This window comes from Homo sapiens, chromosome 2, assembly GCF_000001405.40.
Source record: "Homo sapiens chromosome 2, GRCh38.p14 Primary Assembly".
In the NCBI taxonomy this organism is placed as follows: Eukaryota; Metazoa; Chordata; class Mammalia; order Primates; family Hominidae; genus Homo; species Homo sapiens.
In genome coordinates, this window is record NC_000002.12 from 45,388,258 (window position 1) to 45,406,481 (window position 18,224).

Consider the following 18,224-nt stretch of genomic DNA (forward strand, 5'->3'; position numbering starts at 1 on the left):
AGAAAACCAGACACTCATTCAGTCATACAAATATCTTCATCAGGCAAATCAACAGCAGCAGCAGTAGTCAGAATGAACAGGATACCAGTCCACTGTGGGCTTTATTTTGATCCTGAATGGTCATGCTAATCCTTACCATCTCCACTAAATAAAAATGGAATAAGAGTCACTTCCTTTATATACTTGTTTTTCTTGTCCCTTCACACCTGATCTATATTTGATCTTTAAAACGGCCATTTCTATCCCCATTTGAAGTTTAATTCTGATTTAAGAAAGGACACACTCTTCTATGCTAAATCAAACAAAACCATTCTTCAAATTTTCAAAGGCTTCCCTCTTCTCCAAAGGTTGCATAAACCATATCTTTTTTCATCAAGACTGACTTCTAGGTCATTCACTGAATCAACATAGCAAAAAACAAGTCACTAGCCACAAACATTTATTGTTGGGGTCAATACGTATATCCTTTTGAGAAGTGTTTCGAGCCATTCATTTGATAACTACAAACACGTCAGAATCTGTTTTACTGGTATATTTTTGGCTTGCATGACAAGGGAAAAGAGATTATTGCAAAATTATGAATGAAGTCCAAAAGGCCTGATTAAAAAAAAATCTATAAAATGGAAGGATTAAACACTGCCCAGCCCTACTGTGTCAACAAAGACGGTACAATTCAAATCAAGAAGACAATCCCATACAAGTCCAGCAAGGCAGATGTTGGCAAGTAGAAGTTAAGCAATCTGTTATACAAAATGCAAAAGGAGTTAAAGATAAATTACAAAAAATAAAAAACAAAATTTTAGTCAGAAAACTATTACTACATAAAGCCATATAAGAATGTGTATTAGTTGTTTCCTTTAAGGGAAAAGGAAATCAAACTGTTGGTTTTCTATTTATTCAGAAGAAAAAATAAAGGAAAGTGTTTGGAAAATATTTCTGATATTAAGTGAATTATTTCTCATCTGCTACCTAGAGTTTACAAACAACTGACTTATCCTTGTCAATCTGTGGAAATGAGAAAATAAAATCAGCGTCTGGCCTTCGTGGGATACTCATAACACCCGAATGAGGTCCAGAGTAATCCTAGATCGGGGGATGTCAATGTTGAGTACTTGGACTTCCACTCTTTCTCCGGGGCCCAGTCCAAGGCTTCTTCTCTTCTTTGTTTTTGAAAGTTTTGCTTCTGTTACATTTCGTATGGGAATCAGCCCAGATTTCCCCACTCCTATATCCACAAAAATTCCAAAGAGAGTGGCATTCTCAACTTTGCCTGTAAGAACTGTCCCAATCTGCAGATCTTCCAGGCATACTATGCTTCTCTTGAAATCAGGTTTATCAAAATCTGTAAGAGAAAAAAAGTAAGTGTAAATAAGGCATTGTACTTCCTAGATACAACATAACTTTGTGAATAAGTACTTACTACATACTATGTGCCCAGACCAATATTAAAGATTAAGGGGGGATTATAAAAGGAGCTGCAGACCAACGCTTGCCTTCAGAGAACATGCATATCAGTTGGAGACAGCATTCATGCAGTAGAAACAATTCAAGAAAATTTACTTCCTTCTACAATGCTACACACTAGCATTATACATAAGGATCGAGAAGACAGTCTTATTTTCCTCTTTGTGAAGAGGTGATGAGAATATATATTTGCTTAACAAATATACAAAGCTAAACCACAAACACTGAGAAAGTAAGACCTTTGGAAACAAGAGACTGGAAGCTTTTTTTTTGGTTTTTCCCCCAGTGCCTGGATTATTAAATTGTTTAAAGATGGTAGAAAGTACATCAACTTTTGGCCAAATGTGGATGAAATTCAAATGTTCTTTCTTCCTCACTTCTTCCCACAAATTTGGAACTCAGAAAATCAATTCCCACCTATTTCATATATATTTATCCAATCAACATTTATGGATTCTTGATTATCTATGGCTCAGAATCCCAGACCAGGTAGTATCTAATATTCTTTCTCTTCTTTCAATTAAATTCATCAAACATTTGTTAACTCTATTATCTCCTGGCCAGGCACTCTGCTGGGTGCTAGAGAAACAATGATGAAGATACAGATTTCTGTTTCCAAGTTCTTTATAGCCCTTTTTTCTTGCTCACCCCAGCATACATTTCTTTGTTCATTATTGTCCAAAAGGTAGGCATAAAGCATGCCAAGGAATCATTATGGTTCTAGTTAAAAACAAAGGTTTTTATGAGGGAGACAGTTAGAGTTAGAACTAACAGTTTAAACGGGGCTGTGGATTATCTGTGGACTCCATTTATCCATGCTCCTCCTGAAGGCCCCCTTTCCTAGGATTACTGAGTGTTGACTCTAATAACAAAGAACACATTCTATGCTTGGATCTCCTTTTACTAAGGCCTCATTTTCCCCTCCACCCATTCCATTTCCTTTTCCTCCACAGCTGTTGGCTTTATCCTGATGACTTGTTAAAGCTATCCTTTACATTTGTATTAACAACTGGTCACCCCTTTCTTCCCTTCCCCCAGTCCAACCATACTGATACCAAGACGTTTTAAAAATTAAGCTTTTTCTTATAAAACAAAATAAAAACCTTCTTTAAACTCCAAATCTCACTGTACACATAAAAATGAGTACGCTAAAATTGGAATTGATTCTGTGGAATTTTACCTGATGCTAAAGCAGTGAATTCCAAAAGCAAGAAACCTACTGTAATGTAATATTACACCAGGCTAAGGCTGTGTCAAAGCAAAGTGGAACTAAGTCACTGATCAGGGGCAGAGGTAGGACGGGTCTCCGAGACCCCATAGGCATTGTTTTTATGCTTGGAAATTCTTTCTCTCTCTCTCTTTTCTTGGGGAGGTCCAGCTGCTGCAGATTCCCTAAGGGTTCCTGATCAGCTGTTTAGTTTAATCTTGCAAGGAAAATCAGAGTCAGGAACTACTTAACATATTCCTGAAGACAGTTGGGGACACTGAGAAATCAGAAAATCCTCTGTGTACCATGCAAACTTTAACACTTTCATAGCCAAGCATTTTCAGCCCCTGTGTCTGGACTGCTTCTAATAAACCCAGTTAGGGAAATTAACTAGTCACCATAGTGTTAATACACATGAAATTAATTACACCATTGACAAAACAAAAGACAGAATTATTATGAGTAAAGAATGAGGCATTAAGAAAGGAAATACTTTTGAGAAAATGGAGAAAAGAGATGTAACATAAAATATCATCACGTGGAAATGCCCAAAATACTATCTGCCCCCTCGAAAGTATAGTTTGTAAGCCTTCCTCACCTTGGGTATGTGTTTAGTAGTAAGATGAAAGTTCTCAGACATTTTGAAAATTGTGACTTACATTAGAGCAAAGGTCAGTTCCAAAGTTTTTTTAAAGAGACCTATTTAAAACTTCACTTGCCACACTGATAGAACACTGCAGTAAGTGGAAAGCTCAGTCCAGAGCCCAGATGCATCTGTCTTTTTGCTCAACAACTTGGTAGTTTAATTGGACCATATAATTTGAGTGTTGATCTTTGCTCTGAGTCTACAATGCAACTGGGATAATGGAACAATCGACACTATGACAGAAAAATGAAGATGGATGTGAAAAATCCAGTACAGGATACCTGCAGTTACAGCATTTTTTGCCAACCCTCTAATGCAAAGGGTGCAGCCATACCACCTCCAAATCCAGTATTTTTGAGAACCACTGCTCCACCTAGTACTCCTGCTAAAAACCAGCCCAGAAATTCCCATAAAAGGATACTGGGCCTCCAAATGGAGATGGATTTGTCTGCTGAAACATCCACATTGTGTGGAGGACTACTAGGAGGCTTCTACTCCCACATTTTTGGCATAGTTCTTACTGGGTGTCATTTTATTTTTCTTTAACTTAAAAAAAAACAAAACAACCCTACAGAAGAAGGAATAGTACAATGAACTTGCTGGATGTATTTCAAAACTCCTTTAAACCTTTTCAAAGAAGTATGTCTAACCATCTCAATGCAGCCTAAACCAGAATAAAAAGAGCCAAGCCCTAAACACGGAATCATCAAAACTGGTTATAAGACCAGTGAGCGGATTCATTTAAATCTCAGGGGTTCCTATTCAAACTTCCTTGGGAAGTAGGTCATTTGATACTGTAATTCTTTTTCACTGGGTCACTGCTCTCAACAACTATGGTTGTTACATGGAAGTATAATTCCCTCACCATCTACCTGTGCTGAAAGCTGAGAGCACTTTTAATTAGAAGGAAAATCAACAGAGATATTATCTTATTTGTTCAATGGGTTCATTGACACAGAATCCAAGAACTTGGAAAGCTATAATTTAGGAAGAAGATTCACCTTTTAGCTTGTGAAGGGACTGCTTTACCTTGCACTTCTGGCTCCCAAGAGATAAAGACAACTTACAAAAGGACCATAAAAAAATGTGTGTCTCCATGCATACAGCAGTACATGCATGATGCATTTCGTTTAGTAAATGGGAAATACACAGTGAACAAGGGGTCCAGGGAGACCACCTGGCTTCTAGCTTTGGCTCTGGATATTAATTATAATGACTTTGAAGGAAGATCACCATGCTTTATTTTTCTCATGTATAAAATGGGAGAATAATATCCATTCTGCTTATGGCATAGGATTGCTGTGAGGATCAAAGGAGATAATGGGAGCTATGCAAATGCAAGGTGCTATAATTCAAGTTCAACTGTTTACCTGTTCGAAAGTCAAAGCTTTCAGGCTGGCTGAGACCATCTATGATGACCTGTAAGGTGTGTACTGTTGTTTGCAATCTTTCTGCAATTTTCTCCATTCCTTCCTTTTCAAGGAATGAATTTATTTTTTGTTGCATTTCAGGCTTTCCAACCTCATACAGTGTCCCTCCAATGGATGACAAAAACCTGCAGTGGAAAAAATAAAAAGCGCAACACTTAACAATATTACTCCTTTTGCAATCTCCTTATACAGATCACCCTAAAATTCATTCATCTTAGACCCATAGGTCAATCAATCAGTCTTTATTGAGAATCTATTATGTGTCCTGTGCTGTAAACTGTCCTGAAAAAGAAAAGGCTGAGGGAGAGGGAGAAAGTGGATTAAAGATTTTTGTGCTATTTATCAAATGAAGCACCTGCTCAGAGTCAGCACCAAAAACATTTTTTTGTTGTTGTTGAGACAGTCTTGCACTGTCACCTAGGCTGGAGTGCAGTGACAAGATCTCAGCTCACCACAAGCTCCGCCTCCTGGGTTCACGCCATTCTCCTGCCTCAGCCTCCCGAGTAGCTGGGACTACAGGCACCCGCCACCACGCCCAGCTAATTTTTTGTATTTTTAGTAGAGACGGGGTTTCACTGTGTTAGCCAGGATGGTCTCGATCTCCTGACCTCGTGATCTGCCTGCCTTGGCCTCCCAAAGTGCTGGGATTACAGGCGTAAGCCACTGCGTCCAGCCAAAAATATTTTACACTATAATATTCATTATAAGTTTAGTGTCACATATATTTTAAAAATGAGGCTATCTGTTCCCTACAATTTCAATTAGGAAAACATTTTATTTAAATTAGCTAATAGGCAAACGATGAAATGATACCAAACTCTAACAAAATGTGCATTACATATTGCCAGCTTTTGAAAAATGAATTACTCTATTCATGTGTCCTATCACTGCTTTTTACTTCTGTATACCCTTGATGGCAGTATTACCTGTGCAGCATACCATCAGCTTAATAACTCTCAAATTCCGTAACAGTTGAGCCTCATATAAACTAAATTATATCAAGTCTATTCAGTATTCAGAGTCAACAGAAAAAATATAGGAGGGGATATCAAAAAGAAAAAGTAACTTTCTTCCAAAATGGAAGCAGGTAAAACTTCCATTATACTATCTAAAGATGAATATTATCTTTATATTCTTTATACATTATGTAACTGTAATATTTGTAAAATAAAAACATCTGCCTTTTATAATTTTCTTTTACTATGTTTACCATTACCTTTGATTGCAAAGCTACCTCTCAATTACTTTCCTTTATAATTCAGTAAGAAGAAAAAAAGAATTGAAGGGTTAAGATGCATTTCCCTTTAATTTCATGTGAATACTGGGCTGTAGCTTACTTTCTTGACATTCCTTGGCTGGGTATTTTTCTACACCATTAAGTTCCATTTCCTATGATTAATGGCACTTTAAAAATGTCAACACAGTAATCAGGCAGATAGTGATACTAATGCCCTCAAATCCTTTCCTCTAGGGATACCTCTGGAATACAAAAAGAGAAAAAGGGAATTGTTGGAGGTTTGTCTATAATCAGAATGGGGATATATCCTATTTGGCAGGTTGCTGCACTATCAAAAAAAGAATGCTTGTGATTTTAAGTCTTTTTTGCATTGTTGTGTTCAACCAGAAAGGTCTCTTCACAGTGATACTCTGATAATAATAATCTGGCATCTAGTGGAGAAAGTTCTCCCATCTCTCACTTAAGTAGGGCATCTCTTTGAATTCAAATGTGCAACACTCCTACATTATTACAGCCATATATATGGCCAAAAATAGACACACTTTATGGTATCCGACTAATTCTCTTGAGAATGTATTTTGGTTAATAGTCTAATAAAATACCAAAACGTTGGTGTTTGGTCTCCCTCTTTGAAAATGAGCTTTCATCCAAACTGGTGTCCAGTGAGATAACACTGTAAGTCTGTATGTCTGTGGCTTCCACAGCATGGTGGAAAGGCAGCCGGTATCTCTTAGTGCTGATGGACGAACAGTAGCATACAAGGGTCCCGGTGACAAGGAACAGCTGCTGGAGCTCTGACTGATGGGGCGGATGACACATGACAACCTCTGCCGAAATCCAACTTCCTTATACAACTTTCTAAATAATGCGTGCCCTGCTGAGCAGGCTTCCCTGGTATTCACCTTCTTGGTTTTATTGGTCTGCAACTGGCTACTTAGCGGAGTATCTTTCAAATCCTCAAGATTCTGGCTTCTAACCATCTGTTAAAAATGACAGAATGTATACTAATGCGCTGTAAGTCTAGAATCTTGAATAGCATTTTATAATTAATAAAAGTAACTAAATGGCAGAAACTTCCCAAAGCACTGTATGAGTCTATCTTAAGGTTGCTTGCACATGTGTATGTGTGTGTGTGAGACAGAGAGAGAGGGAGAGAGGAACTAACTACTACCAAAGTCACTTCCAAATAAAGAATTCTGCCTATAGTGGTTGCAGATGTAACAAGAACATTTGTCTGTTTAACCTGGGTGCGTATTTCATATATCATTTTCATTCTCACACATATAAGCCTGAGGGCATTAGTAACTGAAATCAATAAAAAAGCACCAACTTGTGCTCCTAGCTAATGCTTCATATTGATCAACCTATTTTTAAATTACTACAAAGTCAAGTGCTTTTTTATTTTGAAAACTTTCTTAAAGTTAACAAGGTCACGCACACACACACAAAGAGCCAACAACAGACAGAGGAACTGTAAAACGAACTGGGAATAGCATTTAGACTGACCTCTACCTTAATGAATTTTAAATATAGTCAACTGTACATGATAGGAAACAATGTTTTATGCTTAGTAGCCATTCAATAAACATATGTTCCTTAAATATCCTAAGAAAAATTTATTCTACATATTCTAAATTTCACTTCAGAATTAAGTGTGATAAGTAATATCCAATACAAAGTTTCACTTTAGAATTGAGTGTGGTAAGTAATACTCAATACAAAGTACTTTCTGGCTCAAAAGTACCAAATAAAAACACACTGCTTTATGAAGCTTGGCATACAGAAGTGAACAGGTAGTGATAAATATCTGTCAGACATTGTTCTAAATAGATTTTTCTCGTTTAATCATGACAATGATCCTAAAAGGTAGGTATCATATCATACAGAAAAAAAAAATGAGGTTCAGGGAGTTTAAATAACTTGTCCAAGGCCATGATGTTATTCTAACTGGAGTTTTATGCCACACACAATATATATGTCTGTGTATAACAAGATATGTAAAATTTAAAGTGCTATATTTGGTTAGGAAAGAAAATAATACTTTTAGTAATATTTTACAAATAATTTACTGGCAGATTACTTTTAACATTAAAAACACTGAGGAAACCTGCAAAGAAATTATATACATGCTTTTAAATAGACAATTCTTTCAAAAGTCAATGAATTATTAAAGTCATATTCTCATTTTCTCCACTGTTTTTGGAAGGCTTTTTCAGGTTGGTAAGGACTGCTGTTTTTATTTAATGTGTAATTTCATCCATCTTACTTAAAGTAAGAAAGTACCATAAATGCAACAAATAAGCACATCATGTTCTTTAAGCACACATCTGCACAAAGTTAAAATACAGACCTTGCAGCAGAGTTAATGCTTATTTTTCAAACAGAATGCTATATAACCTAAAATGGCTAATATTTTCAACAGAAACTTGTTATAAGTGCAGGGCTTTTCCCTTCAAAGAATAAGAAAAGTCTTGTAAGGCTTTTCCCAAAGAATAAGAAATTCTCAAGATTCATGACTTCAGACATGGCCATTCAGTTTTATGTCATCATTTCCAGCATGGAGATTTAGGAGCTGAGGACTTGGTTCATTACATTAAAGCAACATGATACCCCACAGAGCATAGAAGAACCATGGTGATGCAACACAATCACTTTAAAAACAACTTAATATTAGTACGTGCTTTGTGGGCAAAACATATGATTTACAACTCCACCAAGAACCATGCTATAAGGGCAAAGTACATCTAATAGTCTACCCACTCTCAACACTTTCAAGAGACTTTCCTACTTGTCTATTTTTACCCATTAGCTTTACTCAGTTTTAATGGAGTAACGCAACAAGCACAAAATTAAATGCAAGAACACATCATTTTAGAAATGAATAGGTACAGGTAGACAGAGCAGGTCTTAATCTGTAATACAGGTTAAATATTCAATAATTTAAAAAGAAAGCTTATACTCTAAGAAAATCTGGCCTTCTAAAAAACTATGTAAACTGTGGGACATAAATGCAAGTTCAGTAGTAATTTGTTACTCTAAAAATCTGTTACTGTTTCTATATTTTCTCTCTATATAACATATATATGTTACTCTATGTATACATTTCTTTAAAATTTATTACTATTTTCAAATTTACTGCTCTTAATATTAAAAATTGAATATAAATTCAAGTGTGGCAAACGAGGAAAACCTGCTGCTCCTTTATGCTATCTACAGAGGAGCTGAATTTACACAGCTGAGAATATCACAGTACCTATTTAGATTAGCTTACAGAAGGAGTGCTGGCTTCACCATAGGGGCTGTTCTAGCAGTCAAATCAAAGGGACAGCAATGTGAACTGCATTTTAATCATCACTGAGGAATCTTTTCAAACTTTTTTTAAGACAGGGTCTTGCTGTTTCACCCAGGGGCTGTAGCAGTGGTGCAATCACAGCTCACTGTAGCCTTGGACTTCCAGGCTGAAGCGATCCTCCTCCCTTGGCCTCCCAAGTAGCTGGAACCACAAGCCCAGCTAATTTTTATTTTTTAAAAATGTTTTGTAGAGGTGAGGTCTCAATATGTTGCCCAGGCTGGTTTCAAACTTCTGGGCTCAAGAGATCCACCCACCTTGGCCTCCCAAAGTGCTGGGATAACAGGTGTGAGCCACTGCACCTGGCATTTTCAAATGTCTTACCTCCTTGTTAAACCAAGATACTGAAATAGGCCAGAATCCTTAACAATCTATGCTGGTGCAAAATATACAAGTAATTATAAATTCAAGTATCATTCATTTATAGAGAGGCCCACAGAACTACCTGTTGTACTACAGAAGCTAACAGATATCTAGTGAAAATAATATTTAAATGGCATTTCTTAGCATAATAATCAACCACAGAAAGGGCAAAGAATTATCCAGTAGAACTTACAGCTGAGACCGTTTTTTTACAGTAAATTAACATACTAAGATAAACATTTTAAAAATGTAACCCCTTCAGAAAGTCATGAAGTTGTTCTGAAAGCTCTTCCAGACTCTGATGAGAGAATATAGTTTTAAAATGCATGCAGCTATCTGGGCATGGGTGGGGGCGTTTTAAATGTTATTTCTTGGTACCATTTGGAGCACCTCCTGCATATATGAGTAGAAGAAAAAAAAAAGAAATGACAAGAGAAAGATTTCCTGTCATAGATGAAGGAATGCAGTTTGTCTTCCAAAGGACTTGGTATTATAAGCATCAGACTGTTACCTGCTTCTGACTTCTGAAGAACTTACTAAATGTTTCCTGCTTTTTCAAAGATCTGTTATACATGTACAGAAACTGGATACTCATTGCATGTTGCATTCATTGTATGTAGGAGAATATATCCTTAGAAAGCTGTTTTATTTTAAAATTTCTATTACTTAGCAATTTAGCATTACTGAATAAGAGTAAAAATTTTTTAAAGTGCCATTTAAAAAGTCCCGAGATAGAAATCTTCTAAAAGATTTAGGATGATCATCTTTTCAGAAATAGTTGAACAGTGCTCATATAGTTACCTCAAAGTATCTAAGATCAGTGAAATAATAACCAATGCCATACACAACCACAGTGATTATGCAACTTTCCCTATTTCAGAACCACTCGCTTTATACTGTGTAATTATCATATAATTTAAACAACTGTACGTATACCTCTAAATGAGTATGAGTATATAAAAATAGGAAAGGTGTTGTGTACTGAAATGTTGCTATTATTGCTCCAAAGACATCTAAACTGTTGTAGGAACTGTCTTAGAAATAAATTTACAAGTGACATTAAAATATCAGTCTTCTCACATTTTGAAAAATAACAAACCATTACCCTCCCAAAAGAGAACCAGAAAAAAAAAAATCAACAACCCAGTATTATGCAGCCTGATCACCCTTTTCCTGTGAGTATGGTTGTTTCACACACCCTGCCATTCCCCTGCCCAAATGATAAAGATTTGCTAAAATCAAGGCTCTTCAAAGGAATGTGACAAAATGCTGAAACCAACAAAGAATAATTTAGAAAAGCATACTCAGCTTTATTCAATAAACATTTATTTACTGTGGAGGAAGGCTCTATGAAAGATAATAGAGCCTTTGCCTTGAATGAGCTTACAATCTAATTTTAAGTAATGACAGTATAAAATAGTCTTCCGCTTGTATCTGCTCTTTTAGAGGCAGGACTTTATGTGCAGATAAACAGATACTTTTGAAAGTGCGCAGTACAGATTATTTCATTTAATTATCTCAAATATTTATTGTGAATGTAGATTTGCTGATAAGAAAACAAAATCTCAGAGAGATTAAGAGACTTGCCCACACCTGACAACATAAGGTAGTAGTAGTGAAGGTAAAAGTTATAACAGATTACATCTTCATTAGCAGGCCTACCCTTTTACTTTCGGAGATTTTCATGCAGACAGATTTAGATCTCTGATAAACCTTGGCACCCAGGACCACTGCCTGGGAGAAATTTCTTACTATTTTTTAAACCAAATTCAAAAGGAAAAAGCTTTGGCTCTTTTTGAATTTCTGAATAAGAGTTGGACAAAATTAAGTTAGTGGTTTCAAAGGCTACAGACTCTCTACAGCTCAAAAACACTGTGTTTAGAATTAATATAATTTAATTTACTGCCTGTAAAGCCATAATGTGGATTAGTGCCTGTGAATGTTTGAAAGAAGAGGGCAAATTAAAAAAGTAGTATTTAAAAACATACAGGCTCATGGTGGAAAAGCTGAAATTAAACAGACCTTGTACCACTAGGGAATAAAACCTATGTATCAGAGGTAGAGGACTCTTCCTTGGGAAACAGCCTTTTTACTATAAATGCCATCCTGTCAAGGAATCCTCCTATCAAAAAATTTGAAAATGCTTAACATCTGCCATTTCAATAAATCCCTAGTTGTCCTCTGAATGGGCAAAAACGTTATTCCATTTAAAGAGTATGCAACTGAGGTCAAAGTAACTCGCTTATGGTGACACTGAGAATCAGAAGACAAGCTAAGATTAAAATCCATAGCTAGGCTGGGGGCAGGAAGGGCAGGAGGGAGATAATGGGAAACTAAATCAATAACCTACTGAGTTTCAGGCTCCAGACTGAGTGGTCTAAACTTGATGAAAAGAAAAAAAGGAGAAGGACAGGCAAATATTTTGAAGATGGAAGAGGCTGAAGCAAGCACAACTTTATGATTGGCCAGCAACTCCCTCACACTCCTCCTTCATTGGGTACTAATAGGTTGCTCCAGAAACACAGGAGAGAAACCAGCATTTTCTCCAGTCTCAAAACCCAATATTAATATTCATTAACAATGTTAAATGTCTCAAATTACATCCAGATCACATGAAAAAACAACTTTTTTTCTTGGGGACCAACCATTGTAACTCTCCCCCACTCCCTCCAACTACCCCCATTTCTTTTATGGCTTAGCTTAGCCCCTCCTCAATCACAACAAAAATAACAGCAATAATAATCATATTAACACTAGCTTACTCTGTCCAGGTGCTAAGTATTCTACATATATTAATTAATATAACCCCATGAGATATGGTACTATTATTACGCACATTTAACAGACAAGAAAACTGAGGTATAGAGAGGTTAAATAACATTCCCAGTTCAAACAGCCATGATTTGAATCCAGGCAGTCTGACATTTCACTGCCTCCAGACTGAGTTAGGGGAAAGTTATGTCAAGTCTCAGGTTCTTGATCTTCCTAGTTTCCTCTACCAGCTTTGCCAGAAACGTCATGTGGGCTGTGTTTTGGAACAGTGTGTAAGACATTGGATATGACAATCAATCCATAGCCTGATCATCTAATTCTCAAGTGGGTGAATTTTTTTCACTTTTCTCATTTGTAAGGGCACTTTTGAAAATATGAATGTTACTTCTTGGGAACTAGAGTAAGATGCTTAGGTTTTAACTACTAACAACAACACACAAAACTGGGCCCAGTGGCACACACATGTAGTCCCAGCCACTAGGGAGGGTGAGGAGTAGGGTCATTAAGCCCAGGAGTTTGAGTACAGCCTGGGCAACATAGAGAGACTGCTGTATCTTTAAAAACAAAATTAACTTTTAGCAATCTGTCCACTTAACATTTTTATATTTTAGGTTTGGCCTCTCTTTTATGATGCTATGTCTTTTTATAAGGCAATCTAATATTGTCTAGCCATAGGTCTATTAGAAATTAATGTAGGATAACTAATTGATACACATCTTACATTATCATTTATCAAAAGCCAGGAACGAGTCTTTCTGCCCTGCTGCCAATTCTTATAAGGCAAGTCCAAGTTCAGAAAACTTCGGGCTTTTTCAAATTTGCAAATAATCTCTTAGGTCTGTTTACCTAATCATCATTTATTGTACAGCATTTGCAGTTGGATTTCTTTTCAGGCAAGTTTCCCACAAAGGAACGTGTTTTTATCATTGCAGGAGTTAGCTGGCATGCCAATGCAGAACGAAGCTGTGGTGAATTTTAGATGTAGGGAGGTGTGTTAGACATATTCAGTAGGCTGACTCACCTGTAAGAAAAATTGCAAATTACAACTCATGGGCCTTCTGGTTGCTCATAGTGAAAACTCTGAATATCAAATCTGTGAAGAGTCAATGGTTGCTGTTTGTTTTTTAAATAAAACCAATGTAAACTCTTTGCATTACAGTCACTTATTAGTTAGAAGACTTCTTTGCTCGGCAGTAAGCTCCGGTTGGAGGGAAGGCAATGAAGACTCTGAAGGCAATTCTCAAGGAGCAGTTCAGAGATGCTAAATCCTTGAACAGGAATGGGAAAGAGACAGAGACTGAGATATGCCCACTCATTAAGGGTCTTCAGTAGAGGCCATTCTTCACTATCTGGCTTGACTTATTTTAGCTCCACGGCAGGGAGCTAGGCAGAACCTTTTAAGGCCCTCCCCCAATCTCAACTACTTTTTAGCTCAGGGCACCAGTTAGGAATCTTTATATTCATTTATCTCATGACGGAATCCTTGTGTATCTGTTGGGTTAATCTACTTTTGGTTCTAAAAACCTGACACAAGTTTTTAGTAAATTAAAGAAAAACACTGTTTGGCTTTTGTACAGAAGTTTCTTCCCTCCCCAAATAAATATTTTGCTATGTGATTATTCCTGTCCCAGACCTGAATTTTACATTGACGGCTGTCTACTCTCTGATACTTTTCAACATTGATTGTAAGGGTCACAAATAAGCACATCAGCAGAAACAAAGGAAATCCTATAGTACAAATATCACAAACAGGTATTGATACAAATCATTCCTTGACATACATTTACCTGGTCCATTCCAATGCTACTGCATGTGATATTCCTGCTACACAGGCTGTTAACCACTTATAGAAACTAGTATTAGAATTCCTCCCTAATGGGAAAAATTGAAATAACAAATACTAGCTAATGCTTTATCAAAATGAGTGCCAAGTGACAGTCTTGACAATAAATTTCCTGATATTTTTCAAGTTAAATCAAGAGCACAACCACTTTCAAGCTTAACTATCTGGAGTGAATCAAATTCTTAATACAGCAGATTCTCTGGGAGAGTGCCAGGTCTCACTGTGGCACATACAAATCAGCATCATCTGCAGCACCAAGCACTACTCCTGGCACCTTATTCAAGAAAAAGAGGAAATCGGATACCTGCCTTAGCTCTCTGGATCAACCCAAATGGTAGGACAAAAACAGAGGGGGTAGTAGTGGGGAGAATAACCCCTAAATAGGCTGTTTCTGGGTCTCATTCTACTAATATAGCAGCAATTTTACTTATGGTTTATGGTACACAACACAACAAACTCACTCACACACACAGACATGACAGTTTCTGGATGATGACAGAAAACAGTAAGAAATCCTCTTTCATGGTCTCTAGACTTTTAGTCTGCAAAATCTAGGAGGGCCTTGGCCCTGGATACAATGCTCTGTGAAGGCAAATGGGATTCAGTTTGGGGAGGTCTTGAAATTTTTTCAATCCACAAGAGATTCTGGAAGAAGTACTTACACAATATTTAGGAAAGGCAACATTAGGAAAGGATGATCTATGTGTTCTACCAACAATTTTGTTTATACAACTGCATTGACCACAGCCAGTTTAGATTATACAAAAAAAAAATACATGAATTAAAGTAAAGCTAAACATTTCATTTTGTTCTACTGAAGTTATCAGTTCCTGAGTAGTTCCCTTCCTCAGTGTTCTTTTATGTAGTCATCTTTCATTATTAATTCCTATCATTTATTTTTTCATCAAACATTGCCGTATCAGTATTTGTCAGGTGCAAGGGATAGAGAGGTAAAACAGGCTCTTATGATCCATGTCCTATTGGAGCTTACAGCCAATAATTATAAACTAACCTGAAATTTAATTGTCACTAGCTTAGTAAATCTGGTGCCAAATTTTCAGATGCATTATTTATTTTGCAGAGACAAGGACAATTGAAGGAGCTCATGGCTTTACTATGATATTCTACTATGTTCTACTCCTTTTTGACCATCTGAGCCTATTATGAGTAAGTGGGGTATGGTGGAGTAACCAAGGGGTACATCAAAAGCAGCTTTTTAATGAAAAAAAATTAACATTATTTTTCTTGCTTTTATCCCAGATGTGTCTTAAGATTCCTGATCTCTAAGATCAGTTCAGTGTTCCCCATATTCTTTGTACTCTTATTTTAATATTTACTCTGAATTTTGTTGATGATTTTATGCATCATTTAGAACGTGCAGAGCACTGTGGCAGGGGCTGAAGAATGTAAAAATGAATAGAGGTGATTTACGCCCTCCAGGAGCCTCCCAAAGTAGGAAGGATATAACTTATACTCACAGATACCATAACAGAGGTAAGAAATTAGTAAATGCCCTTAGTGAAGCATAAAGGTTGTTCAAGGAGAAAGATCTCATTTCCAGCTAAGGATATCTCGTCAGATCAAAGATGATTTCAAGGCTCTGAACTGAGAAGCTGAAAGGATGAACTGAAATAATATGAGATGAAAAAGATTATAGTTGAAGATTTTGGGGAGAGACGGGTTCAGATTTAGGCATATTAGGTTTGAGATCTTAAGTAGGCAGATACAGTTTGGAAGAGTGTTTTGGACTAAGAATATAAATTTGGAAGTAATGTGCTTATGACAGTCCTTAGAGCCATGGGACCAGATGAGATCACTATGGGAGTAATCACTGTTTAGTTCTTTAACTTTTCCCTTTTCCACTCCCCTCCAATACAGTGAGTTTCCACTTCATCCTCCACAGTGTCTCTAGTATTCATATTATTTTTGCCATTTGTAACCAGTTACTAATTTTCATATCCTTCATCCAATCTTTCAGTAAATCCTATTGAGTCTACTTTTAAAGTATATCCAGAATCTGAACACTTCTCACCATGTCTTCTGCTGTATCATCTGGATCTCAGTCATCATCTTTCTCTTGGATTACAGCAATTAGTTTAACTGGTCTCCCTGCTTCTACCACTGCCCCTTACAGTGGACTTAAAACAGCAGACAAGGGGATCCTTTTAACATGTAAATCAGATCATATCACTCTTTCAGAACTACAGTCAAACCCCTATAGTAGCCTCCCAATGCCCTTTTGACTCAATCTCCTATTTTTCTCTCCCTTGCTCACTCTGCTCTGGCCACACTGGCTGCCTTGTTATTCCTTGAACATGTCATGCCTGCTCCCACATTCGAACCTTCACACTGTCTGGCTCCTCTTCCTGGAACTCTTTCTCTAGATATCTGCACAGCTAACTCTTTCCTCCGTCAAGACTTTTCTTAAATGTCACCAAGTCAATGAGGCCTGCGATGACTACCCTACTTAAATTTTCAAACCCTTACCCACAATCCTGGCAATCCCTATTCCATTACTCTGCTCTTTCCCTGTTTCCCACAACATTTTATCACACTGTATAATTTATTTATTATGCTGGTTGTATACTGTGTCTCTTTGAGAGCAGGGATCTTTGAATGTATTCCAAGATTGCATAACAGTACTTGGAATATGGCAATCACTCAAAAGACTTTTTTAAATGAAAGATTCTGTCAGTTCTAGCCTAAGTTAATGGAAAGAGATTCATGCCATTAACTATTCATTACTGAGCCTTTTTTGTTTGTCTTGTTTTTGTGTGGGGCTAGTGAGGACTGATGATAAAAGAAGATGGAGTTGTAAAAGGAGGGACAAAGGGGGGTGGTACAAGTTTCAATTTTAGAAACATAGAGTTTCCATTGCTAAGATATTCATGAGAAAATCTCTCACAGACAAATGGAAAGGTTGGGCTAGAGCTTAGAAAGGCCTGAACTAGGGATGTTAAGACATAGGATTTGAATTATATAGTCAGGTAAGAGATACAGATGGTCATGTGTATGGGTAGAATCATCCAAGGAAGCAAGTAGAACAAGTAGAAAAAATGATGAAGGTCAAAAGCTTGAAGAATATATACATCTACAGGGCCAGAGGAGAAAGAGAAACCAGAGACAACATAAAAGTCATGGTAGAAGGTTGGTAAGTTGATAGTGTCAAATGTGGCAGAATGGGTAAAAGAGACGACTGGTCATTAGTTGAGAGAATAATTTCAGAAGAGGGGTAAGGATAGAAGCCAATTGTAAAGGACTGGGAGAAAGCAGGAAGAAAGAATTAGAGGCAGATAGTTCTGAGAGGGTAAGCAATGAAAAGAAGGAGTGATGGGTTAGAAGGTCTAAGGGAAAGTAAGATAAAAGGTGGCCACAGCTTCTAGCTTTTCGGAAGTGAGGAATAGGGAGACCCCAGCAATAATACATCTTTGGCCAAAAATGATGAGAAGAAGTGAAGACATTAAAGATACAAGAGACAGTTAGTTATAAAGCTTTATAAAGCTATTATAAAAAACCTTATTCATTCGGCTGCCACTCCCCCACCCCTCACATTTAGAGGTGAGGCAATTAAGACACAGAGATCAATACAATGGGCAAGGTCAGGAGTCCTCAGCAGCAACCTGGCAGAAGTCAGGGTGGGGAAGGAAAGAGAATCAAGACATGGAGGAGCAGTGTAGGGAAGGATGGGGCAGAAGGAGTAAAAATACAGAGACAATCTGAAGACAGGATTGTAAGGTAGTTTTGAGTTTTTTCAGTGAGGTAAGAACTGTCACCAGGTGAATGTCAGAAGACACTGAAACAAGTAAAAGGAATTTAGAATAGAATGGCTTCAAAGAACTATTGAGGGAAAATCTATTTGTGGCAACAGTGTAGAGCAATACTCTAAATCCCATGTTCCCCTTATATATTCTAT

The 18,224-nt window shown here is 37.0% G+C and overlaps 1 protein-coding gene across 4 annotated transcripts in view, besides 1 other annotated feature; it reads right to left on the reverse strand.

The window, feature by feature from the left end:
* Nucleotides 1–422: 422 nt before the first annotated feature.
* Nucleotides 423–18,224, reverse strand: part of SRBD1 (S1 RNA binding domain 1) — a 222,588-nt gene continuing 204,786 nt past the window's right edge. For all 4 annotated transcript variants that reach the window (NM_018079.5, XM_011532946.3, XM_047444862.1 and 1 more), the window contains 2 exons: nt 4,688–4,872; nt 423–1,342 (listed from right to left, as the gene is read on the reverse strand). In NM_018079.5, the coding sequence (NP_060549.4) occupies nt 1,053–1,342; nt 4,688–4,872 (475 nt within the window). In that variant the 3' untranslated portion in view covers nt 423–1,052. The remainder of the gene's footprint in view (nt 1,343–4,687; nt 4,873–18,224) is intronic.
* Nucleotides 6,033–6,327: a silencer, noted in NCBI's record as "tiled region #15185; HepG2 Repressive non-DNase unmatched - State 16:ElonW". NCBI's record gives its function as "represses a minimal TATA promoter and a strong SV40 promoter by Sharpr-MPRA in HepG2 cells {active_cell/tissue: HepG2}" and the evidence as "EXISTENCE:reporter gene assay evidence [ECO:0000049][PMID:27701403]".